Raw genomic sequence first — 27,424 nt, 5'->3', positions numbered from 1 at the left:
CCCATGCTCTAGCTTATCAAAGGAAGTACTACGTGACCTTGGGTGAAGTGACTCTTTCTGGACCTTGATTTCACCATCTGTGAATTCGGAATAATTTTACTACCCATTTTATAGGTTCTTTGTGGGGAATAAATAAATTATTATGAAAAAGTGTTTCAGATGGCTTCAGTTACTAACTAAAGTTAGAACTATTGTTACAAAAAAATATTTAAAACTGCCCCTCTCTGTTGAGACTGGTTTTTAGCCTTGAAGAAGGCAATACACATAATATTTTCCTTTCCGGACACAGTTTATTTGTAGCCTTTAGGATGCAGACATGAATCAGACCTGATCCTTGGAAGAGAGAAAGCAGGGGTGTAGGGTAGAAGGGCTCCCTTTCCCAGGCAAAATTCCCTGTGTTCTAATTGGGTTGGGTCTTGACATTACTCTCACAACCCCACAGTGGCCACAGAAGAGAGCAGAGGCTTGGTGAGATGGGAGAGTTGCCTAGATGTCTTGTTTCTACTGGACAGTGAACATCTGAACACACTGAGGCTCCTACAGGGAAATGTCTGGATGTTCGTCCCTGGGAGAATAAATTTTCCCGGGGGTCCAGTTTCCCTTCCCCAGAGGAGCTTCCCTTCCCCAGAGGAGGGCTTAGATGGCACACTTGGAAGCTCTCTCGGTGGCTCCCTGCTATCACCACTACCAGCAACATGCCCATTGCACAAGTAAAGTAGTTGAGGCTCACAGATTAAGCGACTTGCTTAGGTTTATATGGAAAGCAAAACTTGCTTTTCAAATCCTTGCGTATTCCAGCCCTTTTGCCATGGGCTAGAGGGGTCTTCCTTGGGATGGTCTTCCCTCATCTTTATTCTGAGGCCATATCAGCTCTGTCCTCAGCAGGGTCCTTTGAGTCCTCCCGGGGCAGGGGAATTCGGAATTTCTGCTATTTTCAAGGCCTGCCTGTTCCTCCAAGATGCCATAGCCAGAGGGTTGGATGTCCTGTCAGCCTGATAAACATAGAAAGCTTACACAGTAAGCAAAGTAAAAATAATAAAACAAAGCAACACTTTTGAATTCTCGCATGGGCCAGTCCTGCAGAGGTGCTCCGGATGCATCATTGCCTCATTTGGTCCTCCCTTCAGCCATATCTAGAAGGCGTCTCAGTTGGGAATGTCTTTGGCTGCAAGTATTAGAAAAATCTGACTCATGGTGTCCTAGCACAGACGTGTGGTTAGCTCATTAAATGAGAAATCTATAGGCAGGTGGTTCCAGGGATGGTGATTCCGCAGCTCTGGTTTGGGGCTCTGCAGTTTTCTTGGCCTTCCCTCATAACACTACAGCCCCCCTCAGCTCCCCCACTAATCACATTCCCACACGATTGCCCCCAAAGCAGAAGAGAAGGCAAATAGGAAGGAAACACATTTTTCTAGAAGCCCGCAACAGATATCTGGAAGGTGCCCACCTCAGGACAAATCACTAGCAAAGGTGGATTTCCTGGACCAGCTCAGACCCATGGTGGGTCATTCTCTGGGAAGGGGGCCTGGCCACCTTCCTAAACATATGCCGACTCCTGAACAAATCCAGGAAGAACCAGAGGCTCACATTCATCTCCCTTTGGTGTGTGAGCAGCTGCCTCTCCTTCCCTGGGAGGATTTTGTCTATGGGTCGAGAAGGGAAGAGAGTATCTGGAAGAGATATTTGTATTGAGGTGATATTGGTCTGCACTGAAGCCAGGGGTGGGGAGTAGAAGAACTAATATTTATTGAGTACCTATTGTATACCAGACCCTGTGCTGGGTGATTTCATTCTCTTTTCATTTAATTCAGTTCTCAAAGCAGCCCCATGAGGAAGGAACTGTTCTTCCCATTTTTCAGATGGGAAAATTGAGACCAAGCCTGATCACAGATAATGGAGAGGAGCGGAACTGGTATAAGCGCTAATTGCGGTTAACTTTCCCTGATGCTCATGGTGTGACAGGCACTCACATAGGTGTGCCCCATGGACCAGGTCGTTTGTTCCTGACCTCAACTCCATGAGGTTCTCTTTTCCCCATTCTGTCAATGAGGAACCTCAGCTTAGGGAGGTGGAGCAGTCTGCTTGGGGTCACAAAGCTGAGGATCGGCCAAGCCCAGCTGTGAACCCCACTGCTAGCAGACAGCCCTTTGGAGCTCCCCAAATTTGGAGAAAATCCTCTGGACCCGTTCTATGGCCTTCTTGGGATTGTTGGCTTCTCTGGCAGATAAGCTGGAAAAATAAACAAGAGGATCAGAAAACTCCTTTTGCCTCCTGCTGTTCTGAATCTGCTGAGGCCACAAGGGGGTCATCCAGCTGCCTCGACAGCCAACATTAAGCAGGCAAATGAATGAATCTTGAGTATGATAGCAGGACATGTGAAGTACTGCCAGAAAAAAAAACTATCAAAAAAACAAAGAAACAAAAATCAGTAAGAGGAGATGACTGTTTTAGACCAGGTGGCCAAAGACAGCTTCTCTGCAGTGACAGCTGAGCAGAGATAGAGGCACCGGGGAGGTGGTGGAAAGAGCAGGCTGTGCGAAGAATGCTCCGAACAGAGGGAACAGCACGTGCAAAGGCCCTGCAGTGGGACCTCTAGGGAAAGATGGGGAGATCAGTGTGGCTGGAGCAGAGTGGGTGAGGGAGAGAGTCGGGGGCATAGGGTCAGGCAGGTAAAGGTGAGAAGGGGCGGATCATGCTGGTTCTCGAAGGGCCTTGTCAGGACCCTGGCTGATAAGGATGGAAGCCAGGAGACCAGGAGGAGCAACAGCTTCTCCAGAGCTCTGCTGGGACTATGGAATGAAACGTGCCTAAGCTCACCCGGCACTGAATGGGTGGATACAGGACTAGAACAAGACCTCCTGGGTCTTACCTCCAGGTTCAGCCCATGGTTTCATAAAACTTAGTGTGCCAAGCACTCAACAGTTTGTGATTCCTTTTAGTGTCAAGCTCTCATCACTTCCTCACAACAGCCCCAGAGGTAAGCACAACTCTGCCCTCCCTGTTTCCAGATAATGAGGTGAGCTCAGAGAGGTTGAGCTACCTGCCCAACGCTTCCCAGGGTGGGAATGGGGATGGTGGGGGCAGGGGCGTGGAGTGAGGCTGGATTGACCCCCAGTTCTCATCAGCACCCTGGGGTGGTACATTGCAGAGCCGCGGGCACAGGGGGCTGGCACCCCAAGCACCAGGTAGCGATGACAATGGCCACCACATCCGGAGGCCCTAACGTGCACCAGGTAGAGGGTGCATACTTCACGGGCACTATCTGTCCCCAAAGCAGGTGAGGATGAGGGGACTCCCTGAGACACCCTTGTACCCCCTGCCCAGTAGTTACTGAAGATACTATAGGGTGCGATATAATCCAGACCAGCCCTCCCAGCCCAGACCACAGAATGGAAAACTCCAGGTCCCCAGCACGCCTGGGGTGGGGGATGGGGTGAGGAGGAGCCTTGGGGGGTTTCCTCTGTCTAGGTGGAATGTGGAATGTGGTGGGAAAGCTCCTCCTGACCCCCTTACACTCCTCCTCCATGTTCGTCCCCTCCCACCACATTTTCTCCTCCCACTGTGCCCCCTCCTCCCCATACCTCCTTGGCTGTTTCCCCATCGTCCCGCCGTCTTCCCACATTCCCTCCTCTTCCCTTCCCCAAAAGTCCTCTCCCATCTTCCCCATCCCTCTTCCCTCCCCGCATATAATCTCTTCCTTCCTGTAAATCCTCTCCCTCTCCCCTCCCTTCCATCACCCCCCAGTCCACCACATCCCCCTCAGTCCCCCATCTATCTCCTTTCCCCTTGATCACTCCCCAGCCCACCACATCCCTTCCGCCCCCTCCCCCTCCCCCTCCTTCTCCCCTCCCCTCCCTCCCACATTTTCCATCAGGCCTGAGCTGGGGGGAGCAGGGTTTCTAACAGAGCGCCCCGGTCCGACCCCTGCGGACCTCGGAGGGCCCCATCCCCCACCCCCCCCACCCCGCCCCAAAGCGGGCTGGGGTGGGCGGAGTGGGAGGGGCGCGCCGGGTGGGGGCGGGGAACTTTACCTGGGAGTGGGCCAGGCCGCCAGCCCCGCCAGCCCCGCCAGCCCCGCCAGCCCCGCGATGGCTTGGGCCGCGCTCCTCGGCCTCCTGGCCGCACTGTTGCTGCTGCTGCTACTGAGCCGCCGCCGCACGCGGTGAGTGTCCTGCTCCGCTCGGCCCCGCCAGACAAAGGGGGCGGCTCCCGCCCGGGCTGCAGCCCAAGGGTCTCGGAGCCCGCGGCCGGCCCGGCCCGAGTCCCGCTCCAGTATCCCGGGCAAGGCGAGACCCTCGGAGGTGGGAGTCCCGGGGCCCCGCACGTGGGTGAGGGGGCCAGGCCGTGCTCCCCCTGCCAAGAAGGTGCAAGGTGGGAAGGTGCGGGGTCCGGTAGGTCCCCCGGGGCGAATCGCCCACCGCGACAAGTCCGAGTCTGGCCCTTAGCGCGACGGCAGGGACCTAGGAGGGGGTTTCAGGTGAGGACCGAGGGTTTGTGGGTGGGGAGCCGTGCGGGGACAGCCTCTGCGTGGCCCGGGTGGAAGAAGCGCTCTCCACTCTCCAGCCTCTGCCTGCACCTGGCACCCACCTACGCGCTGTCAAACCCTGCCTTGCTTTCGGCAGTCCTATAGGGATAGCCTCGCTCCTCAACCCATTACACAGATGGGAGTGTTGAGCCAGCGGAGTGTAGAGCCCCTGGGGGATGTCTTGATCATGCCCTGGAACCACCCACCCCGGGATTCCCCGTCTGGAAGACGGGGGTCGGTGGGCTTAGTAATTTCATTTGCCAGGGAGAAACTGAGGCCTATGAAGTCTCTACCTTCCCCTGAGGTCCCACAGCCTGGACAGAACGGAGCCAGGGTCAGATGTCACAGCCTCCTGGTCCCAAAGGTTTTCCAGCTCCATTGAGCATCTGTGATTTAGGAGAAAAAGTAAAGACAGCCTCAAATCAAGGAGATAGCTGTAGCTCTCCTTTTCATAAAATATTTTTTAAGTTAACTTGAATTGCATAAGGAATAGCTGAATACATTCGACTTAACACAAATATTTATCCTGTTATAGGTAAGACCGAAGCCCCTTAACCCTCCCCCAGCCCCTGAAGTCTAGTCCTCTCTCCCTCTCTGGGCCTCTCCTGTTGCTGAGTCTGGGTAGAACCTTCCATATTTAAAAAAATATACTTTTTATTTGAGACTAGTTTGGGATTTACAGAAAGTTGCAAAGATAGTACAAAAAGTTCCTGTATTTCTCTCACCCCGTTTTCCCTATTGTTAACATCTTACATTGTTATGGGACATTTGTCGCCACTAAAAACCAACACTGGTCCGTTACTCTTAACTAAACTTCAAACTTCACGGGATTTTATCCAGTTTCCCATTACTGTCCTCTTTTGTTCCAGGATCCGGCCCCAAGTTACCACATTGCCTTTAGTTTTCATACCTCCTCAGTCTCCCAGATGTTTTAAAAATTACTCTTACATAAAAATTACTCTTACATACATAGACATGAGCTTGTAGCTAATACAGAGCCACGTAAGAGAGAGTTAGTTTACATTCGTGTCTGAAAATTCCGGAAACCTTGGGAACTTTTTGATTTTTAAACAATATGGTAGTTGAATTTTCAAACAATAAGCTCACTGTATTTTTCTTCAACCTCCAGACATCTTTTCAGCTGAAATTTACAACTGTGTAGTCAATCATTTGCCTTAAAACAAGAAAAGAAAAAGACAGTGAATAAATGTCTCAGGGAAGAAATGAATTATTTTTCCTGTCAGGCTTTCTCAATACACTGTATAGAAATGTTTTCAGACATTATGTTGCTTGCTCTTTTCACTCCAGATTTTAGTTTTGACATCTGTTCTTTTTGCTACAAGCAGATCTTTTTGCTACAAGGAGATCGAATCCATTCTTTTGATCCTCTCTGGAGTCTTCCATCATGTGAATACGTTATGGGCTCTTTTTTTGTTTGTTTGTTTGTTTGAGATGGATCTTCCCTCTTGTTGCCCAGGCTGGAGTGCAATGGCACGATCTCGGCTCACCGCAACCTCTGCCTCCTGGGTTCAAGTGATTCTCCTGCCTCAGCCTCCCCAGTAGCTGGGATTACAGGCATGTGCCACCATGCCCAGCTAATTTTTGTATTTTTAGTAGAGACAGGATTTCTCCATGTTGGCCAGGCTGGTCTCGAACTCCTGACCTCAGGTGATCTGCCTGCCTCGGCCTCCCAAGGTGCTGAGATTACAGGCGTGAGTCACCGCGCCCTGCTGAGCCTTTGATTTTTATACCTGTGGGCACCTTGGAAGGGTCAACAGTGGGTAGTGGGGAGAAGTGTGGGAATGAGGGTCACTGGCAGCTTGAGGGTAGGTGCATGGACCCTGGGGACCCCAGTTTAGATCCCCAATCTCACTTTCTCCTTCCAGTTCAGCTAGGGACACTCTGGTTATCTCCATTTTACAGAGGAGGAAACAGGCTCAGAAAGGCTAAGCAACTTGCTCAAGGTCTGTCTGGATTAAAACTCTGGGCTGTAAGAATTTTTAGCTTTTACTTTTAGTGATAGGATCTCACACTGTGGCCCAGGCTGGAGTGCAGTGTACAATTATAGCTTACTGGAGCCTTGAACTCCTGGGCTCAGGTGATCCTCTCATCTTAGCCTCCTGAGTAGGTGGGACTACAGGTGTGTGCCACCATGCCCAGTTAATTTTAAAAATTTTGTAGAGATGGCATCTTGCCATGTTGTCCAGGATGGTCTCAAACTCAGCTCAAGCGATCCTCCCACCGCAGCCTCCCAAAGTGCTGGAATTACCGGTGTGAACCACCACGCCTGGCTTTGCAAGAATTTTTAATTCACAGGAAGAATGAATTCTCAGTCTTCCCACACATTATACTGGTAATCTGAACACTCAAAAGTCTTAGAACCATGTGACTTTTAGATACTAAGAAATGCAACTACAAGCAAAAAATTCTTAAAGAAGGACAATGGCCGGGAGGGCGGATCACGAGGTCAGGAGATCGAGACCATTCTGGCTAACACGGTGAAACCTCATCGCTACTAAAAAAAAAAAAAATACAAAAAAAATTAGCCGGGCGTGGTGGCAGGCGCCTGTAGTCTCAGCTACTCAGGAGACTGAGGCAGGAGAATGGCATGAAGCCGGGAGATGGAGGTTGCAGTGAGCTGAGATCCTGCCACTGCACTCCAGCCTGGGCGACAGAGCGACTCCATCTCAAAAAAAAAAAAAAAAAAGGGCAAACAAGTGAAACAAGTGGGTGACCCTGATGCCGTCTGAATGGTGATCCAGTTTGGGTTAAAATAAGCAAGGCTCTCCAGCTCCCTTGTCTCATTTCTTTATCCTGACCAAGCCTTGAGGTAATTTCCATCACCCTTATCATACAGCTGAGGTTTAAAAAGATGAAGTGACTTTCCCAAGGTCATACAAAAATTATACTCCACATCTAGGCCCCTCCAAAATTCATGCTTATCCCAGTAAGACACCACTACTTCTGGGAGTGAGCAACTCCGTCTTTACCTTTAGAATTTAATTTAAAACTTTTAAATTAGGAAACATTTCAACTATACAGAAAAAGAAAAAGAATACGGTAAGAAGCCCCATGTACCTATACCTTGATTTGACAGTCATTAACATTATTTAAAAAATATTAGACATAGGCTGGGCACGGTGGCTCACACCTATAATTCCAGCACTTTGGGAGGCTGAGGCGGGCCGATCAAGAGGTCAGGAGATCGAGACCATCCTGGCTAACACGATGAAACCCCGTCTCTACTAAAAATACAGAAAATTAGCCAGGCGTGGTGGCAGGCACCTGTAGTCCCAGCTACTCAGGAGGCTGAGGCAGGAGAATGGCGTGAACCCAGGAGGCGGAGCTTGCAGTGAGCGGAGCTTGCGCCATTGCACTCCAGCCTGGGCAACAGAGCGAGACTCCATCTCAAAAAAAAAAAATTAGATGTCATGATATTCCACCCTTGAATATTTCAGAATGCATATAAAACTGACAACTACAATTCTATTTTCTTGCCTGAGAATATAAAAAGATAATTCTTAATGTCATGTAGTTCCCAGTTCAAATTCAAATTTCTGCAATTACAGCAAGAATTTTCGAGCCCCATTCGGTGAACATGAGGGTGGTGAGCTGAGAGTTAGGAGTATGGCTTGTGGGCCCCTTGAAACTAATTGATTTGCCTTGTGAGTATCAGAAGCATTCTTCCTGCTTCCCAGGCCTCAGTTTATCTGTACTTCGAGGTGGCTCATGGAGGTGGTCTCTCAAGCCCCAGCCATATCACCAGGCTACTGCATCTCTTCCTTTGGGCTTGTGTGACCACCACAGGGAGCACTGAGAGAGATCTCTTGGTTGGGAGGCTCCTTTTCTGGGGGTCCGGAAGGCATAGTGGCATCAAGCGAGGGTCACTGTGGCCCAGTGGCTGGTCTGGGCCCTTGCAGGATGCAGAATTTGTAGGCACAAATAAATCTGTCTCATTCTAACATGCACTGACCAGAGGTCACCCAACAGTGGTCCGTGACTGGATTCAGCCCTGGATGGGCTGGGTTTGTGCTGTGTGGGACATGGGGAGAAAATTGGGGGATTCCATACACAAAAATCTAGATTTCCAACTTCTTCTGAAAAATGGGAAGATCTAGCAATACTTTCCTGGGACTCAGTGGTAGCACCCTCTCTAAATCTTGCCACAGTCCCCACTACTCCCTATTGCCTCTCCAGCATGCAGCTATTCTAGTTACCACTGTACTTCCTCTGCTGTTTTTTCCTGTGTTGAGAAATAATTCTGTGAATTTGTGTCTATTTCAAAAACCAGAAAACAAAAACTAGGGCAAGGCCACGTGCTTTTTATGCACAGTGGTAGCAGTGCGGGGCAGGTATGGAAGAGCATCTGGGAAACCCTGTTAATGGCAGACTGAAAACCCTGGAGGCCTGTGGGTGAGCCCTGGGGGAAGAATGGGTTAAGCAGGTTAAACAGAATTTTGGGTTGCTCCAGCTCACCTGTGCAACTAAGCCCCCTTTTGTTCCCCATTAAATCCTCCCAGAGCTTAAGGCCCTGCATTGAGTTGAAATGATTGAACAGAGAGGTTGGGCAGTCTACCCAACATTGCACAGCTGAACCATGCCAGCCTCTGCTCTGGACAATCTAGAAGATGGACTCTGTGTCAAGTGCTTAACCTGCATTGGCTTTCTTAACCCTCTCAGCAACTCTGGGAGGCAGGTGCTGCCCATTGAGCACCGACTGCATACATGATTCATTCAGACCAGCCACTGTTCTGAGTGCTGGAGTGAACAACACGCCCTCCCTTCATGGCTCTTCCATCTAGTGAAGATGCGATACGTCAGGGGGCATGGAGGCGGGTGACATCCCATCCTTGACTCCTTTCCCTGGTTCACAAAGGGTCAAGTGGGAGAGAGATCCAGGGCAGGCGACAGGGGTCAGTGAGTGAGGAATAGGCCGTTTTTAGAGGAACCCATGTGATGGGGCTCCAGTCGGAAATCAGAAAAGATGCCTTGGGATCTGACCCAGGGTGGGCAGGAAACCGGCTGTGTGGGCAGGAGCCGGGGATGGAAAGGTCAGGGCCCACCGCCCTGCCCGCCAGGGCCTGGCAGTACCTAAAAAAAAGTGAGAGTGTCCGTGGGTGGGGCTAGAGCCCACAGTCCCCAAAACAGAGCCTCCTTCGCCCCCGCTGGCTGCAGGCTGAGTCACCCTGGAATGTGACCACGGCCTGAGTTGGATTGAGGGCCCAAGGCTGGAGGAGCCAACATCAGGGGTCAGGCGCCTGGGCTCCGGGCTTCCTGCCTTTGTCTGCGCCTCCTTGGGACTTTTCTGGGGAAAGAGGAAAGCTGCCAGGAATAACACCTGGCTCGCTGGGGAGCTCCGGCCACAGCCAGGAGAAAGGCAGGGGAAGAAAGCCTGCTCCCGCCTGCAAAGATGTTTTAGGAGAAAATTTCAGGGCCTGCATTTGAGTAGGTCTCTGGAATATCTCTGCAAAATGGAGGTGAAAATGCCCACTTAGGGTGACTGGGGGCCAGGGTAGTGTCAAGAGGGTGGGCACTGCAGCCAGACCTGTCTGGATTAGAAACCCAAGTCCTCTATGTTGGACCCTCTGGCATGTGACTTAGCCCTCTGCACCTCAGTTTCCTCCTCTGTAAAATGGGCCTGGCAGTAATAATTGCTTCCTCATAAGGTTAGGGGGAGGATTCATTGAGTCACTGGGATAAAGTCCTCAGTGTGGTGTCTCCCACACCATCAGCGTTCATTAAATGTTAGCCATTATTTCCAAACAAGGAAACGTTTGGAAAATGCCAAGTATAGCTCCTGATGTGTAGTTGGCACTAGGTAAATGGTGCCCAGGAATCTTACTGCTCCTGCTTCTCAGCTGCTTCCCAGCTACTAGGTGCCAGGTGCTCTGTAACTCCCCTCATCCTTGGCACAGCCCAATGCAGTCAGTAGCATTATTGCTTCCATTTTACAGATGAGGAAATAGAGGCATGGAGAAGCTAAGTCACACAGCCAGCAAGAAGCGTGGCTGGGATTTGAAGCCAGGAAGTATGGTGCTAAAGTTTGGGCTCATCGTGACCATGCCCTCCTGCCTCTTATGCAAAAATCACTGCTTCTGGGTCCAGTCTGCCAGGCTCTGACCTGGGCTGGAAGGGGGCTGCCATGAACCAGTTATTCCAAGGCTACTTGGGCAGCACGACACGTGGAGACTTCAGGAGAAGTGGCCTTAGCCCAGGGGCTCACAAAAAGATGAGGCACAAGGCAAGGCCCTGCACCTCCTTAGACTCACAGAGCTCAAATTTGCAAGTCTCCTCTTTGACTAGAGAAGCCGGGATGGGCTGGGGAGAGGAGGGAATGGTTGGGAGAGGCACTTCCTAGGCCCTCAAATTTCATCTTTGCTTCTGCTCCCATCCTTCCCAGCCTTGGCCCTCAAATCTGGCCATTTGCTCCTGCCCACGAGCTGTCCCACCCTTTGGGTTATACTGGGGGCAGCCAGGTAGAGGGAAAAAGGGAGCAGGAGACAGGGGCAGAGGGAGGTAGAGAGGGAGGGGGAAAGGAGGAAGAGAAGTGGCTGCTTCCCTGAACTGCTGGGTGTGGAACAAAAGGCCCTGTGCTGAAAGTGGGAGACTCAGATGTTAGGTCTGGCTCCCCGGGGACCATGGCCATTGCTTCCACCACATTGCTCTCCTGGGGGGGTCACGGTAGTTCCCTGACACATCTCCTTCCTTCCTCTTGTCTTTCTCTGGTATGACCCTTTAAAGGTGTGGTCACATCACTTACTGGCTCCTGCTGCAAACCCTCCAGTGGATCCCTGCCACGCGTGGCATAGGAGCCGGACTCCCACCTTGGCCTTGGCCCTCGTGGTCCACAAAGTCATCTCCAGCATCATCGCCTACGTCTCGTCCCCACATTCTCCACTCCAGCCACGCTGGCTCCTGCTGTCTCGAAAACCTCACCGAGCATGCTCCCACCCCAGTACCTTTGCACTTGCTGTTGCCTCTGCCTGTAACACTCTTCTCCCTGCCCCTCCCAGAGCACTCCCTTCACATCCTTCTGGTCTTTGCTCACGTGGCATCTCCTGAGGAGGCCCTCCTTGACCACCTTTTGTAAACCAGCCCCCCTCACTGTCTCACACCACCCTGTTTTCTTTTTTCTTTAATGGAATATAATTCATATCCCATTTAGTTCACCCTTTTGGGCTGGGCATAGTGGCTCATGCCTGTAATCCCAGCACTATGGGAGGCTGAGACAGGGAGTGCTTGAGCCCAAGAGTTAAGATCAACCTAGGCAACACATCAAGACCCTGTCTCTATAAAAAAATAGAAAAACAAAGTCAGGTGTGATGGCATGTGCCTATATATAGTGCCAGCTACTCGGGAGGCTGAGGCTGGAGGATTGCGTGAGTCCAAACGTTTGAGGTTATAGTCAACTATGATCATGCCACGGCCCTCCAGCTCCCCTTTTAAAGTGTATAATTCGGCCGGGCATGGTGGCTCACGCCTGTAATCCCAGCACTTTGGGAGGCTGAGGCAGATGGATCACAAGGTCAGGAGTTCAAGACCAGCCTGGCCAAGATGGTGAAACCCATCTCTACTAAAAATACAAAAAATTGGCCGGGCGTGGTGGCGGGTGCCTGTAATCCCAGCTACTCGGCAGGCTGAGGCAGAGAATTGCTTGAACCCGGGAGGTGCAGGTTGCAGTGAGCCAAGATCGCGCCATTGCACTCCAGCCTTGGCGACAGACCAAGATTCCGTCTCAAAAAAAAAAAAAAAAGTGTATAATTCAATAGTTTCTAGTATATCCACCGGGTTGTGCAATCATCACCATCATCTAATTCCAGAATATTTTCATCACCCCTAAAAGAAACCATGTACCCATTAGCAGTCACTCCCCATTTCCCCCTCCTCCAGCCCTGGGCAACCACTAATGTACTTTCTATCTCTATTGATTTCCCAATTCTGGACAGTTCATATAAATGAATTAATACAATATGTGGCCTTTTGTGTCTGGCTTCTTTCACTGGGCTTAATGTTTTTAAGGTTCACCCACATCGTAGCATGAATCAGTACTTCATTCCTTTTTGTGGCTGAGTAACGTTTCGTGGCATTGATACACCACATTCTGTTTATCCGTTCGTCACTCAACGAACACTTGAGTTGTTTTCACTTTTCAGCTATTACGAATAATGCTGCTGTCACCCGAAAGCGGTCCTGATCCAGACCCCAAGAGAGGGTTCTTGGATCTCAGGCAAGAAATAATTTAGAGTGAGTTCACAGAGTAACGTGAAAGCAAGTTTATTAAGAAGGTAAAGGAACGAAAGAGTGGCCACACCATAGACAGACCAGGGCGTTTCCGAAGGCAAGAGGAGGAATGTGTCTGCCTTAGTTACAATTCTTCTTGTTTATATAGAAGATAAAAATCATGGGAGAGGTGTGCTCTTCTACCACAAGGGCTGGGGACAAAAGATTGTTACCTAACAATCTTCCATAAGAATCTATATTATTATCTTTAAAGCAAAACTTATTCTTAAACTAAGAAGGCTTTTGTTCATAAAATATCGGGACAGCAGGATGTTTCCTGGGTCTGTTAAGTCCTGGATCTGTTAAGTCTTGGGTCTGTTGGGTAAGCATGATTTAACGTGTTCCCTTGATCGTAAACATCCTGCGCTTAAGAATGCCTAGCTTCCTGGCCCAGCATGGTGGTTCACGCCTCTAATCCCAGCACTTGGTGAAGCGGAGGCAGGTGGATCACCTGAGATCAGGAGTTCGAGACCAGCCTGACCAACATGATGAAATCCTGTCTCTACTAAAAATACAAAACTAGCCGGGCATGGTTGTTCATTCCTGTAATCCCAGCTACTTGGGAGGCTGAGGCAGGAGAATCACTTGAACCTGGGAGGCGGAGGTTGCAGTGAGCTGAGATCGCGCCATTGCACTCCAGCCTGGGCAATAAGAGCAAAACTCCATCTCAAAAAAAAAAAAAAAAATTGTCTAACTTCTTCTTGGGATTGCAGCCCAGCAAGTCTCAGCCTCATTTTACCCAGCTCCTATTCAACATGGAGTCACTCTGGTTTGAACACCTCTGACACTGCTTACGAATAATAGTGTATACATTTGTATAAGATCCAACGTTTTCAATTCTTTAGGGTACATTGCTGGGTCTTGTAGTAAGTCTATGCTTGACGTTTTGAGGAACTGCCAGACTGCATTCCAAAGCAGCTGCACGATTTTACATTCCCACCAGCAATGTATGAGGGTTCTCACTTCTCCACATCCTTGCTAACACTTATTTTCTTCCCTTTTTTGGTGGTGGGAACAGGGTCTCGTTCTCTTGCTTAGGTTGTAGTCCAGTGGCACAGTCACAGCTCATTATAGCTTCCACCTCCCAGGCTCAAGTGATCCCCCAAACTCAGCCTCCTGAGTAGCTGGGACTACAGGTGCACACCACCACACCTGGCTAATTTTTGTATTTTTTGTAGAGACAGGGTCTCACCATGTTGCCCAGGCTGGTCTTGAACTCCTAGGATCAAGAGATCCTCCCACTTTGGCCTCCCAGAGTGTTGGGATTATAGGCATGAGACACCATGCCCAGCCTTATTTTCCTTTTTTAAAATTTTTGTTTTTATTATGGCCATCCTGGTGGGTGAAGTGGTACCTGTAAACCAAAAAGTGTCTGAGACAGGTCTCAATCAATTTAGATGTTTCTTTTTCCAAGGTTAAGGACATGCCCAGTAGAGAGGTCTGTGCCTTTCTCCAAAGACGACTTTGAGGGTTTCAATACTTAAAGCGGGGGAAAGGTGGGCTGTAAGAGAAAGAGGGAAGGTATGGTAATCCCCATGTCACAAGAGAAAAGGAACGGGTAGGGCGATAGTCAATGATGTATTTCTCTCATGCACAGTAAATCAGCACTTTACATAAAATAAGGTGAACATAGAGTAGCTGCCTATGGAGATACTGAAACTTTTATCTGTAGCTATCTGCTTAGGAATAGTAGGAAAGGCAGCTTCTTGCATGACTCAGCTTTCAGTTTAATTTTTTCCTCATGGCAGAGTGAATTGGTGTCCTGAGTTTTTATTTTCCTTTCTCCCCGGTTTTCTTTTCTCCCTGGTTTTCTTTTCTTTTCTTCTTTTTTTTTTTCTTTTCTTTCTTCCTGCACGTTTTTTGCTCTGCAGCCTCAACCTTCCAGACTCAAGCGATCTTCCTGTCTCAGCCTCCCTAGTAGCTGGGACTACAGACATGTGCTACCATGCTGGGCTAATTTTTTTAATTTTTAGTAGAGACGGGGTCTCACTCTGTTTCCCAGGCTGGTCTTGAACTCCTAGGCTCAAGTGATCCTCCTGTCTCAGCCTCCCAAAGTGCTGGGATTACAGGCATGAACCACCATGTATGCCTGCCCCCCTTTTCTATTTAAGATCTTTTGGAGAAAGCATTTTAGAAGAAAATGAATCTCCGGTCTCAGGTTTTGTCTGATCTCTCATGTCTAGGATGGTTTATTTCTAGACGAATAGGTCCCACATTGTTAGGAAAGCTCAGTTTTAGTAGGTTGTGAAGTCTCACATCACACAAAGAAAATAAGAGAGAAAGAAAACAGGAAAAAAGGAGGAAGTAAGCAGATAAACAAAAAAGAAAGAACGAACCTGGAAAACTGATAGAGGCCATATTACTCTCAAGTCCGTATATCAGTAGGCAGGTATGAAAATGATTTCTGCATATAAAGAGATTGCTTTTATTTTCTTCCAAAGTTTAAGTTCAGTTTATAGGGCTTTAAGAAAAGCACAGCTTAACTTTTAGTGATTTCACATCAGGAAAAATGAGGGGAGGAAAAAAAAAAGAAGGGAAAACATTGAAAACATTCTTTTGGAGACTTGGAGCCAGGAGAATTTTTAGAATTCAGTCCAAATTGTGGAAAATAATAAAAATGGAAAAACATTAGACAAGTCTAGACTCTAATAACAGGTGTACTATAGTTAATTTTGAAACATGACTTTTCTCTCTCCAATTCCCCAATTTTATTAAAGACAAAATCATAGTAGGACCAACTTATTTGTAAAATAAGTTTTAGTTATATTATACTTGGCTTGATTATTTTCATAAAATGCAGCAAGACTGATCATTTGCCATATGAGCTCTCTCTTCTTTTTAAAATTGGCTTTGCTGGAAGCTTTTCCATAAGGAATCTGAGTCTAGACCTTTTTAAAAGCCTCACACCCAGCCAAGGATTTAGCTGTGCCTGCAGATACCTGTATGAATTGAGTGAATTCAAAAAGTGACATTCTTTGCTTTCCACAGGTCAGGACCCTGTAAACGACAGGGTATATGAAGCCAGTTTTTCCAAGGTGCTTTTATTAGCTCTATAGTTCAGCCTTATTTTCTCAAAGTAGTCTGAAAATATGTCATTCCAGTTAAAGCCTTGGTAAAATAACCAGTGTCTCCAATTATGCCCTGTTATAAAAGAAAAAAGATACTTAGGCAAATAACTACATTGCCATAAATTAAGAATACTCACAAATAGTTTCCAAGTTTTGGAAAAAATAGGTAAAGAGAAAGAAATTCTGTTTTAAATTTTTCTCATGAGAGTATACTTTACTGAATTGTTAAAAGCTATAAATAGCTTAAAAGAAGAGAAAGTTTTCTTGACTCTGTAAAACAAAACAAAAAGAATCAACAAATGTTTTAAACAAAAACTCATAAAAGATTATTTCAATCTCCTGTTAGTTCAGTTCATGCAATTAACTCCTGTTCTGCTCAAGATGGGATTAGCAGTCCTCATGAATACATCAGTTCTCCATGACAGTCCTGGAAGTTTTTCTCCCTATTCCAATGGCACAATCTCTAAGGTTGTCAGAAGCCCATGTTTAAGAGTACTCCTCAGAGTTCTATAGCTGATTATAAATCACCTATAAAAAGATCAAACTAAAACAACTGTGGATGACAAAAGTCTTAGAACAGCCATAGTTAAAGACACAATTGACAAGGAAATTTGGTTACGTCTGTGGTATTCAATAGTTTTACATAATAATCATAATTACTACTGATGATGTATACTAAGTCATATCAGAATCACAGGAATCTCATACAATTTTGGAACACATACTCATTTATATAAGCAACTCATTTATATAAATATAATCCAAAGAAGATTAAACACCATTTCATATTTGACAATGCTTCCTGTATGATTTTATTTTACCAAATAAGCCGAATATGTCTCTTTTGGACTTCAGAGGACCTAATGCCAAAAAATTAATGAGGTCAAAAGGACTGAATTGACTATTTTATTTTGGAAAGTTTGTCAAATATAGAAAGTTTAAAACACTTGACATCACAAAATAGAATCACAGGTTATTGTAAAATAAGTCATTCATTTAGCCAAAGGTATAACTCAGAGATTTCAGAAAAAAGGCAAAAACCTTTATTCTTTTTTTTTTTCGAGACACTCTCACTTTGTCGCCCAGGTTGGAGTGCAGTGGTGCAATCTTGGCTCACTGCAACCTCCACCTCCCAGGTTCAAGCAATTCTTGTGCCTCAGACTCCCGACTAGCTGGGATTATAGGCACCTGCCACCACACCCAGCCAATTTTTTTGTATTTTTAGTAGAAACGGGGTTTCACCATGTTGGCCAGGCTGGTCTTGAACTCCTGACCTCAAGTGATCCACCCGCTTCAGCTTCCCAAAGTGCTGGGATTACAGGCATGAGCCACCACACCTGGCCTAAAAACCTTTATTCTTTGAGAGAGGAGACTTAATTTTCCAAATAATAAGCTCTAATAAATACAGCATGAGGCCAATTAAATCCTGTTTCTCAAATCTTATAAACAAATCTATTAAATTTTAATCATCTTGACCCTAAGATGTAATTTCCATAAACCATTTTCTAAACTTTTATAATTTTTTAAAGGGTGGGATAATGCTTCAAGAAAACCTTGTTAATCTGACACAGGAGCCCAGATGCTGGTCTTGCATCAGTGTGCCTTTGATGTTAATGTTTAATTAATAGAGAAACTCTGAACTAATTTAATCTCTCAGAATCAGCCCTTACAATCTCATATGCCCACCTCTTCCATGATAGTCCCTGGGCCTAGAGAGGTTGAATAGTTTTCATTTCTGGCTCCATGTCTCACAAATGCAGCTTATTTTGAATGTCATCTCCTCCTAGGTCTGAAGATGATGCTTTAACTGCTGTCAGTGTTTAAGATTTAGCAGGACTCAGTGTCCTTTTTAGACCCAGGAGTCAAAGCCCTGTAACTAAACAGCACCAGGACTTTAAAAACATTACAGAAAGTTACAAGGATGTAATAACCTTCATTAAAAATTTTTTTATATCAGCTTTCCTAGGCAAATCAAAACACAGAACAATTTAGACATATTAAGAAATGCCAGGAGCACAGAATGTTATATTGGATGAAAACATTTCCTTTAGACCTTTATGATAAAGCATTTTTAGCATCAGGCTACAACAGTTAGGACCTGAGGGAAAAAATTTATATGAGCTGACGAAAATGTTGATGGAGAGAATTATTCTCTCAGTCCTTCTCAAAGAGGAGAGAAAGCTGAAAATAGCAAGATGCAATAAAAGTTGAACTTTTGAGTTAAAAAAATTAAAATCTCATGTAATGTTATTAACAGTAAAATAATACCTTAAGAAAATTTTGTTCTAACCAATTCTTTAGTGTATTAGTGCATTTTTAATATCAAAACCCAATCTCTAGAAAGACTATTATAAATAATTTCCTTTTAATTATAGTCAACTTGTTCACATAAAATGTTTTTCATAAATTCTCTTTTTATAAACCTTATTATGACTTACACAAACCATTTACAACATGCTTCCTGTTTTATCCTAAACATCTCTCTTTCGTAAATGATCAATCATTTTATTTTAGGACAAAAAATTTTTACGGGATTCTTTCCATATACAATTATTTTTCTTTTAACCTTTCTTGCCAAAGATACCCCTTTATAATTTTCTTTACATGCTTCTTATTTACTTATTCTTTTTACGTTGTTTAATAAACAACCTTTGAATTAGACAAAACTATTTCCTTTTAATAAGAACACTTTTTTAAGAAAAATGTTTTTCTGTAACTTTTTAAGGAAAAATTGGAAATGACCCAGACATTTAATGGGTATCTATTATTTAATTTAATATCACTTTAGATTCTGAATTATATGACATTTATTTATAAGCATTTATTTCATTACATTTACCTAATTAATTTTTTAAAATAGTTTACCTAGATTACTTATGAAAACTGTGATAGTCACTATTTAAAGTTATTTCCCTGTTAATCATTTTTATAGCTGTGAATTTCAGATGTTTACTTAAGTAAGAACTTTAAAGTTAAATACATGTGTGTTTTTTGTTTTTTGCCAATAACTCAGGATTTAACTGTTTTCATTAAATGAACAATATTAAATGCCTTATTTATCAAAAAGTTACACAATGATAATTCTCTTTTGGGCTGGATTTATAGCTTCATAATCCTCATGCCAAATTTTGTCACCTTATAATATCTAGCAGAGATAAATATATAACCCCTTGACTAATACATATAAAACAATAATGTATATTGACAATTCTGAAACCATTTCTAATTTTATTTTACCAATAATTTTAAAACCAGCTTATTTGTTAAAGATTTACTTAAGTCATGTGAGCTTGAAAAACCATTTGGGCTTAAAGTTTCTATTTTTCTGATAAAGTATTTGATTTTTTTCTTTAAGCCAATTTATTAGACCTCTTATGTATTTTTTTGTAGTGAAACATTATATACAGGACATATAAATACATAGACAGACAGGCAGCAGTAGATCTGATAAGATTCATAAGACCCCTTTTTTTCTCCTGTTATAAAGCTCCTGGCTTTTCTTAATATGTCTAAGTTGTTTTATGTTTTTATTTGCCTAGGAAAGCTGATATAAAACAATTTTAAATAAAAGTTATTACATCCATGTGACTTTCTGTATCGTTTTTAAGTCCTGGTGCTGTTAAGTTATAGTGTTTGACTCCTGGGTCTAAAAAGGACAACTATCTTAGACTTCCAATTTCTTGATAACCTGTTTCATTACCCTAGGCAATTGTCAGCCAAACTTGCATACTAAAGGAACAACTCTTGGGTGAAAATCAGATAGGGAAATGTATATCTCTAAAGAGAGAGAGAGACAGACAGAGAGAGAGAGAGAAAGAAAGAGGGAGAGAGAGACTGGGTGTGTTAGAGGGAGATTAAAAATGGATGCCAAGCCACAAGCCAAACATAAAATTATAGAAATCTTCTGTAGGATTTTATGAGGAGACAAACTTTATTTAGATAGGTAGATTTAAATTTAGTCTCTGTCTTTTAACTGGACCTCTGAGCTCTGGGCAGAGTCCACACTGAATCCTGGGTCTCTAAAAGGAGAGAGATATCATGAGACTAAGCCATGTAATGCTTTTACAGTGCACTTTGTTACAAAAGCATTTCTCTAAGTATTTTAACCACTCCCTCTCTTAAACACACAAGAGTAGTTCCTGTAGTAATAGCTATTTTAGTTAATAAAAAAAAAAGAAATCAGATAACGCAATACAAAAACAATCAGTTTAAGATCTGAGAGGAACTTGTCTTTTTACACTCTTAGGGTTTCATAAGGAAAAACAGAGGTTTCTCCCCAGAAGGAGTCTGGCACCTTCTCTGTTTTCTTTAAGGAATCCCAGGCTGTTAGAAATTATTTTAGGTCCCTTATGCAGCAGAGGGCGGCAAGAGGAAGGAGAGACAGGCAGAAGTAAATGGAGAAAACAGAATTCAGTCGACTGGGAAGAAAAAATCTTTTTCTCAAAAAACAAGAACCTAGGAGAGAAAAAAGAAAGCATAAAGGCATACACACACACACACACACACACACACACACACACACACAAACACATACACATGCATACACACACATACACACGCATACACACACACATAAACACACACACATACATAAACACTGCTGACAAAAAGAGTTAAACTCTGTAAAATATTTGAGGAGATTTATTCTGAGCCAAATATGAGTGACCATGGCCTACAACACAGCCTCAGGAGATCCTGATGACATGTGCCCAACGTGGTCAAGGCACAGCTCGGTTTGTACATTTTAGGGAGACAGGAGATATCAATCAAATACATTGACAATATACATTTGTCCAGTCCAGAAAGACAGGACAACTTGATGTGGGGGGTGCTTCCAGGTTATAGGTGGATTTTAAAACTTTCTGATTGGCAATTGGTTGCAAGAGTTATTGTCAATAGAAATAAATGTCTGGGTTATAATAAGAGGTTGTGAAGACCAAAGTTTTCTCATGCAGATGAAGCCTCCAGGTAGCAGGCTTCAGAGCGAATAGATGTAAAGGTTTCTTATCAGACTTAAGGTCTGTGTTGATATGAATGCTGGAGGGTATAATGAGTCATGTCTGACCCCCACTTCCCACCACGGCCTGAACCAGTCTTTCAGGTTAAATTTTATTTTATTTTTTTTGAGACGGAGTCTTGCTTTGTCGCCCTGGCTGGAGTGCAATGGAGCAATCTCAGCTCACTGCAACCTCCTCCTCCTGGGTTCAAGCGATTCTCCTGCCTCAGCCTCCCGAGTAACTGGGACTACAGGCATGCACCACGACCATGCCTGGCTAATTTTTGTATTTTCAGTAGAGATGACGTTTCATCATGATGGCCGGGCCGGTCTTCAACTCCTGGCCTCAAGTGATCCACCTGCCTTGGCCTCCCAAAGTGCTGGGATTACAGGCATCAGCCACTGTGCCTGGCCTGCACTTTACCATCTACAAAGCAGGAAAAAAAACTTCAAACTTGCCTTCCTTGTTGGAAGTGAGTTGAAACTCCAGAAGGGAGTTACGTGCTCTCCATCGTCATGGAAGCAGGAAAACTTGCCTTCCTTGTTGGAAGCAAGTAATACTCCAGAAAAGGAGTTGTACAACAAAATAAAACTTAGCTCTCAAATTGTAGCTCTCTTAGATCTCAAATTTTCAGAGATTCGGGATTCTCTGCAGCAGGGAGCTCCCAGCCCTACTGGTTTGACCAATGAAGACAGATACCAAGCTGTTACCAAACACCAACAGGAGATTTGTCAAAGGCCAGGGCCACCTACATGGAGTCCCTTCATGGTCGCCAATTTGTAAACTAAAAAGTATCTAAGCTAGGTCTCAATCAATTTAGATGTTTATTTTACCAAGGTTAAGGACAATGCCAGGGAGAAGAAAAACCACAGAATCACAGAAACAGTCTGTGGTCTGTGCCTTTCTTCAAAGATGACTCTGAGGGTTTCAGTATTTAAAGGGGGAAAAGTGGGCTGGAGGGGAAAGAGGGAGGGTGTGGTCATCCACATGTTACAAGAGAAAAGGAGCAGGTGAGGCAATAGTCCCCGAGTGCTCCATTCAGATTACCTCCCCGACTGCTCCATTCAAAATCACACTCTGCAACCTACACTCTTTATGCCCTTCCTTGCCTTATCAAATGGTGACAAGTGCCATGGCTTCTGTAGGCGACCTGGTGAGCCTCCCCTGGACCTGGGCAGCATCCCCTGGTTGGGGTATGCCTTGGACTTTGGAAAAGATGCTGCCAGCTTCCTCACGAGGATGAAGGAGAAGCACGGTGACATCTTTACTGTAAGTGCCTCTTGTGCCTCGGGAGGGATGGGGATGAGCAGCTGGGCCTCATATCTGGTTTCTGTTGATTCCTTCAACATATGTCCCTATGCCAACCCCCCCACCCCACCATCCAACATCCATCTGAGTGGTCGAGCCAACTTTCTATCCAGCTGCCTGTCCAGCTGCACTCTCAATGCTGACCTAACATCATCCCTTCAGTCTCCCTCTTGCTCTTCCCAGCGTGGAGTTATGCAGTCACTCAATATCTATCCAATACTTGTATATCCATGCAGCTGACCTCCATCTATCCATTCCATTTCCATCCGTTCAACATCCATCTTCCCATCCCATTCTTCTGCCTGTCCACCTGGTGTCTACTAAGCGTCCTTCCATCCTTATATCTACTCAGCATTCATTCGTCAACCTCCGTCTATCCACTCACCCATCAGTTTTTCCATAGATTCACCCGACATCTGTCAATTCATTTATCCATCTTCTATCCCTTCATGTGTCTGCCCAGATCTACCCAGAGTTCTTCCACTCATGGATCCAATGTTCATCCAACTTTCATCTGTATACAGTTGGCCCCCTGTATCCATGGGTGGGTTCCATATCTCTGGATTCAACCGGCCACGAATTGAAAATATTTGGGGGAAAATGTGTTGGTACTAAACTTTTTTAGACTTTTTTGTTGTAATTCTTCCCTAAAAATATAGTTTAACAACTATTTATTTAGCATTTACATTGTGTTAGGTATTATAAGTAATCTAGAGATGACTTAAAGTATATGGGAGGATGCATGTAGGTTATTTGCAAATATTATGCCATTTTAAATCAAGGACTTGAGCATCCATAGATTTTGGTATCTGCAGGAGGTCCTGGAACCAATCCTCCATGGATACTGAGGGATAACTGGTCAGTTTCCACCAACTTTCATTTTTCTGTTTATCTACGCATCTTTCTGTTCATCTGCCACTATCCACCCAACACTCAGCTATATTCAGTATTCGATGTCTCCCCACTGGATATACATCTATTTATATCTCATCCATCCATCCTTACAACATCTATTCAAACGACCACCACCCACCCACCTTCCATGTATCCTTCCAACTTCCATCCAATCAACATTCATCCTTCACTTTACCCAGTATCTACCTAGCATTCTCTCATCCATGTACCCAACATTTATTGGTACATTTGGTTTCCAACCAACCTCTAGCTGCCCTTCCATCCATCTTTCCATCCAACATAGATTCATTGATCTATCCTTCCATTTATCCATCTATCTAACATTGTATCCACAAGTATTTACCCAGCAATTTCCTTCCTTCCTTCCTTCCTTCCTCCCTCCCTTCCTTCCTTCCTTCCATTCATTTACCCATTCACCAATCCATCCATCTGCCCATTTACTCTTCTACAATCCACCCACTGGAATTTACCCAACAGCATCCATCCATCCATCCATCTATTCATCCATGTATCCATTCATTCTTCCTTCCATCCATCCATCCATTCTTTCATCCATCCATCCATCCACCCATCCATTCATCCATCTACTTATCCATCCATCCTTCCTTCCATCCATCCATCCATCCATTCTTCCATCCAACCATCCATCCATCTATCCATTCATCCATCCATTCATCCATCCATCCATGATGTGCACAGGATCCATCTGCCGCCTTCTCTCCTGGCTACTGGAGATATGGCAATAACCAAGATAATCATGGCAGGTGCTTAAGAGTGAGGTGGTAGAGAACACAGTCTTTGATTTTAAAAAGCCTCAATATTCCCAAATTCCAGTCCTAGTCCTGCCACTTCTCAGCTATGAGATCTTGGGCACATTTCTTCTCCTTTCTAAGCCTCACTTTTTCAGCTATAAATGGGTGAGTGATGGTCCCTACCTCACAGGGTGGTAGGTGGTAGTGAGGCATAGATAAGAGAACATAGTGTGTTACTGTCCAGTGGGGCAGTGCCTGGCACACAGTAAGGCCCTGACCACTGAGAGCGGCTGCTGTTCACAGTGACACTCCTCACTCTATCCCTGGCAACTTCCCACAGATACTGGTTGGGGGCAGGTATGTCACCGTTCTCCTGGACCCACACTCCTACGACGCGGTGGTGTGGGAGCCTCGCACCAGGCTCGACTTCCATGCCTATGCCATCTTCCTCATGGAGAGGATTTTTGATGTGCAGCTTCCACATTACAGCCCCAGTGATGAAAAGGCCAGGATGAAACTGTGAGTGGCTGGAGATGGCACCTGTGGGAGGGCCAGGGTGGGCGACTCATTTCTACTCATGTGGCCCAAGTTATTCTTGGTTCCAAAGCAAATGTTCGGTAAAGACATTTTGTCTTGAGAACACAAACAGAAACAAAACAAAAAACAACCCAAAAGAATTGGGTGGAAGAAGAACTCTTTGTCTCTCATCTCTGGCGGGTTTTTTTGTTTGTTTGTTTGTTTGTTTGTTTGTTTGGAGGCAGCCCTGATTTTAGTAGGAGGAGACCAGGGTTTGGGTCAGCCACACCTAAATTCAAATCCCAGCCCCATCACTCCCTAGCTTTGTGACTTTGGACAAACCTCTTTCCCTCTCTGAGCCTCTGTTTCCTCCTCTGTAAAATGAAGGAGAGAGGTGGAATGATGAATATTTCTGAGTCCATACTCTGCCAGGCAGCATGCATTATCTCATTAGTCTTCACAACAATGCTGGAGGCTAAGTAACTTACAGCCCCATTTCATAGATGCAGCCACTGGATCTCAGAGAAGTGACTTGTCTCAGGCCACATAGCCAGAAGTGGTACAGCTCCTGAAACATATGGAGGAATCATTTTATTTTATTTATTTATTTTTGAGACAGAGTCTCTCTCTGTTGCCCAGGCCAGAGTGCAGTGGCATAATCTTGGCTCACTGTAACCTCCGCCTCCCGGGTTCAGGCGATTCTCCTGCCTCAGCCTCCCAGGTAGCTGGGATTACAGGCACGTGCCACCACACCTGGCTAATTTTTGTATTTTTAGTAGAGACAGGATTTCATCATGTTGTCCAGGCAGGTCTCGAACTCCTGACCTCAGGTGGTCTGCCCGCCTCAGCTTCCCAAAGTGCTGGGATTACAGGCATGAGCCACCATGCCCAGCCACATATGGAGTCATCATATCAATAAGAGAACAGATGAACATGTTTGCTCTGCATTCATTCAGCAGACATCTGAGGACCCATTGTACCCTGGTCATTGCCCTGGATGTAGGGTGTGCAGAACGGTGCCAACCACCATTTGAAGGCAGCTATTATAGGCCAGGTGTCTGATAGGCTCACTTTCATATCTGTGCATTAGCCTAAAGAGGTGGGCATTTTTATCCTTATTTTACAGATGAGGACACTGAGGCTCAGAGAGGTGAAGTGACTTGCTCAAAGTCTACTGCTAGTAAGTGGCAGGACTGGGATTTGAACCCAGGTCCACTGACTTCACAGCGCATTCTCCTTCATCTAAGATACCAAGGCTGATAAGACCCTGTGTCCGCCCCTGCAGAGTTCACACAGTCCAATGGCGATCTTCAGTGATCTGTCTCCAGGAGGAATACCCTCTGGAGGTTAGGAAGAGCATCTAGGAAACTGTTTTGCAAGATAGTTAAGGCTGAAGCAAGGCCAGCATGATGAAGTGGATGTTGATGAGACATGATGCCTCCTCTGAACCTTGGCCTGGGGGCAGCTGCTTGGAGCCTGAGTGTCCTGGGTCCTGACATTCCAGGGGGACCCTGGGGGTCCCATTAGCAATAGGAATCCACAGCTCACTGAATCTGCCCCTGCTACCCAGGGAGGATCCCAGTTTCCTTCAGTGTTTGCCTCAGGAATTTTCTGGAATTTCTTACAAGCTGGCGTGATGTCTTCTGGGCACAGCAGCCACATCTGTTGAGGGCTTGTCTCTGCTGAGGACCAGCGCTTGGAGTGGGGTGGGGAGAAGAGCTGGGTCAGGGTCCATTGAAGGCCAGATCCCATGTATTGAGCACTTACAATGTGCCAGGCACCGTGCGGAACCCTTCACATGCATTGTCATACATGAGTCATGAGCCATGTCTGTCGTTTTTCCCACTATGTTCCAACTTGAACATCCCAAACCTTTTCATACCCAGGAGTTCATGGACGCCCTGTGCAAACCCTGCCCTGGTGGATTACCCAGGCACTTCTGGCTTACTCAGTCTAAAGGTGTCCATCCTACTTCCCAAACAGCAGTCCATCCTACTTCCCAAACAGCAGGCATGACAGATCAGGGCCCTGATTGGCACTCTCCCACTGTTCTTGTTGCTGCCACTAGGTGTTGCTGTTGACCATGGGCTGTGCACCGCCCATGGACACCCCACTTCACTTGCTGTAGGGATATCCTTTTTGGTCCAGATCCTACACAAGGAGCAGAGAGGCCTTAGACTTAGATGCAAGATACCCCTTTCTTGGCTTCTAATCATATCCTCAGTCATGGCTCAGTGTAGACTCCATATCATGGAGGCTCAGTATAGGGGAGCTTCCAGCTTCTGCCACACTCTTCCAGACGGGGCCTCTCCTCACTCTGTGCAGGTCCACACGATGGGACCAGATCTCCAGCCCACATCCCTTTTTCCTTGTGTCACTCTCATGTGAGGTCATGTCTTTTTTTTTTTTCTTTTCTTTTTTTAAGACACAGAGTCTCACTCTGTTGCCTAGGCTGGAGTGCAGTGGTGTGATCATAGCTCACTGCAGCTTCAAACTCCTGGACTCAAGCAATCCTCCCCACCTCAGCCTCCTGAGTAGCTGGGACTACAGGCACCTACTACACATCTGGCTAGTGATTCTTTGTGTATTTATTCTATTTTTGTAAAGGCAGAATCTCACTATGTTGCCCAGGCTGGTCTTGAACTCTTAGACTCAGGCGATCCTCCCACCTCAGCTTCTCGAGTAGCTGAGACTACAGGTGTGAGCCACCACCCCTGGCTAATATTTTATTTTTTGTTGAGATGGAGTCTCACTATGTTGCCCAGGCTGGTCTTGAACTCATGGACTTAAGTGATTCTCCCACCTTGGCCTCCCAGAGTGCTGGGATTACAGGTGGGAGCCACCATGCCTGGCCAGGGTCACATCTTATTGGCAGTCCTGAGTCAGGGAACACCACAGCTATTCCAACAGATCTTCCTATCTTTAGATTTCAGGGAGAGATGAGTTGCTTTTCAGTTCCTTCTCTTCCAGAACGCTATGGGTCCCTTATCCAAGCTGTGTGCCTTAGGGAGGGAAAGACTCTCCTGGTTAAGAATTCAGATGCTGGAGTTGGGCAGACCAGGA

General features: G+C 45.7%; 1 protein-coding gene and 1 long non-coding RNA gene across 3 annotated transcripts in view, besides 2 other annotated features; one reads left to right on the top strand and one right to left on the bottom strand.

The window, feature by feature from the left end:
- On the bottom strand, window positions 271–4,161 carry LOC101927486 (uncharacterized). Its single transcript, XR_244188.4, has 2 exons — window positions 4,032–4,161; window positions 271–992 (listed from the first exon to the last, which is right to left on the bottom strand). It is a non-coding gene; the product is annotated as an uncharacterized LOC101927486 (long non-coding RNA).
- Window positions 2,537–3,151: an enhancer, noted in NCBI's record as "H3K27ac-H3K4me1 hESC enhancer chr20:48185591-48186205 (GRCh37/hg19 assembly coordinates)". NCBI's record gives its function as "activates a minimal SCP1, AML or CMV promoter by ChIP-STARR-seq in naive H9 embryonic stem cells {active_cell/tissue: H9 hESC(naive)}" and the evidence as "EXISTENCE:reporter gene assay evidence [ECO:0000049][PMID:30033119]".
- Window positions 3,152–3,768: an enhancer, noted in NCBI's record as "H3K27ac-H3K4me1 hESC enhancer chr20:48184974-48185590 (GRCh37/hg19 assembly coordinates)". NCBI's record gives its function as "activates a minimal SCP1, AML or CMV promoter by ChIP-STARR-seq in naive H9 embryonic stem cells {active_cell/tissue: H9 hESC(naive)}" and the evidence as "EXISTENCE:reporter gene assay evidence [ECO:0000049][PMID:30033119]".
- Window positions 4,068–27,424, top strand: part of PTGIS (prostaglandin I2 synthase) — a 64,264-nt gene continuing 40,907 nt past the window's right edge. For both annotated transcript variants that reach the window (NM_000961.4, XM_047440325.1), the window contains exons 1-3: window positions 4,068–4,162; window positions 22,016–22,139; window positions 24,186–24,364. In NM_000961.4, the coding sequence (NP_000952.1) occupies window positions 4,089–4,162; window positions 22,016–22,139; window positions 24,186–24,364 (377 nt within the window). In that variant the 5' untranslated portion in view covers window positions 4,068–4,088. The remainder of the gene's footprint in view (window positions 4,163–22,015; window positions 22,140–24,185; window positions 24,365–27,424) is intronic.

Source organism: Homo sapiens, chromosome 20 (assembly GCF_000001405.40).
Source record: "Homo sapiens chromosome 20, GRCh38.p14 Primary Assembly".
NCBI lineage: Eukaryota > Metazoa > Chordata > Mammalia > Primates > Hominidae > Homo > Homo sapiens.
Note: the sequence above shows the minus strand (reverse complement) of the source record. Positions and strands in the feature narration are given on the sequence as shown.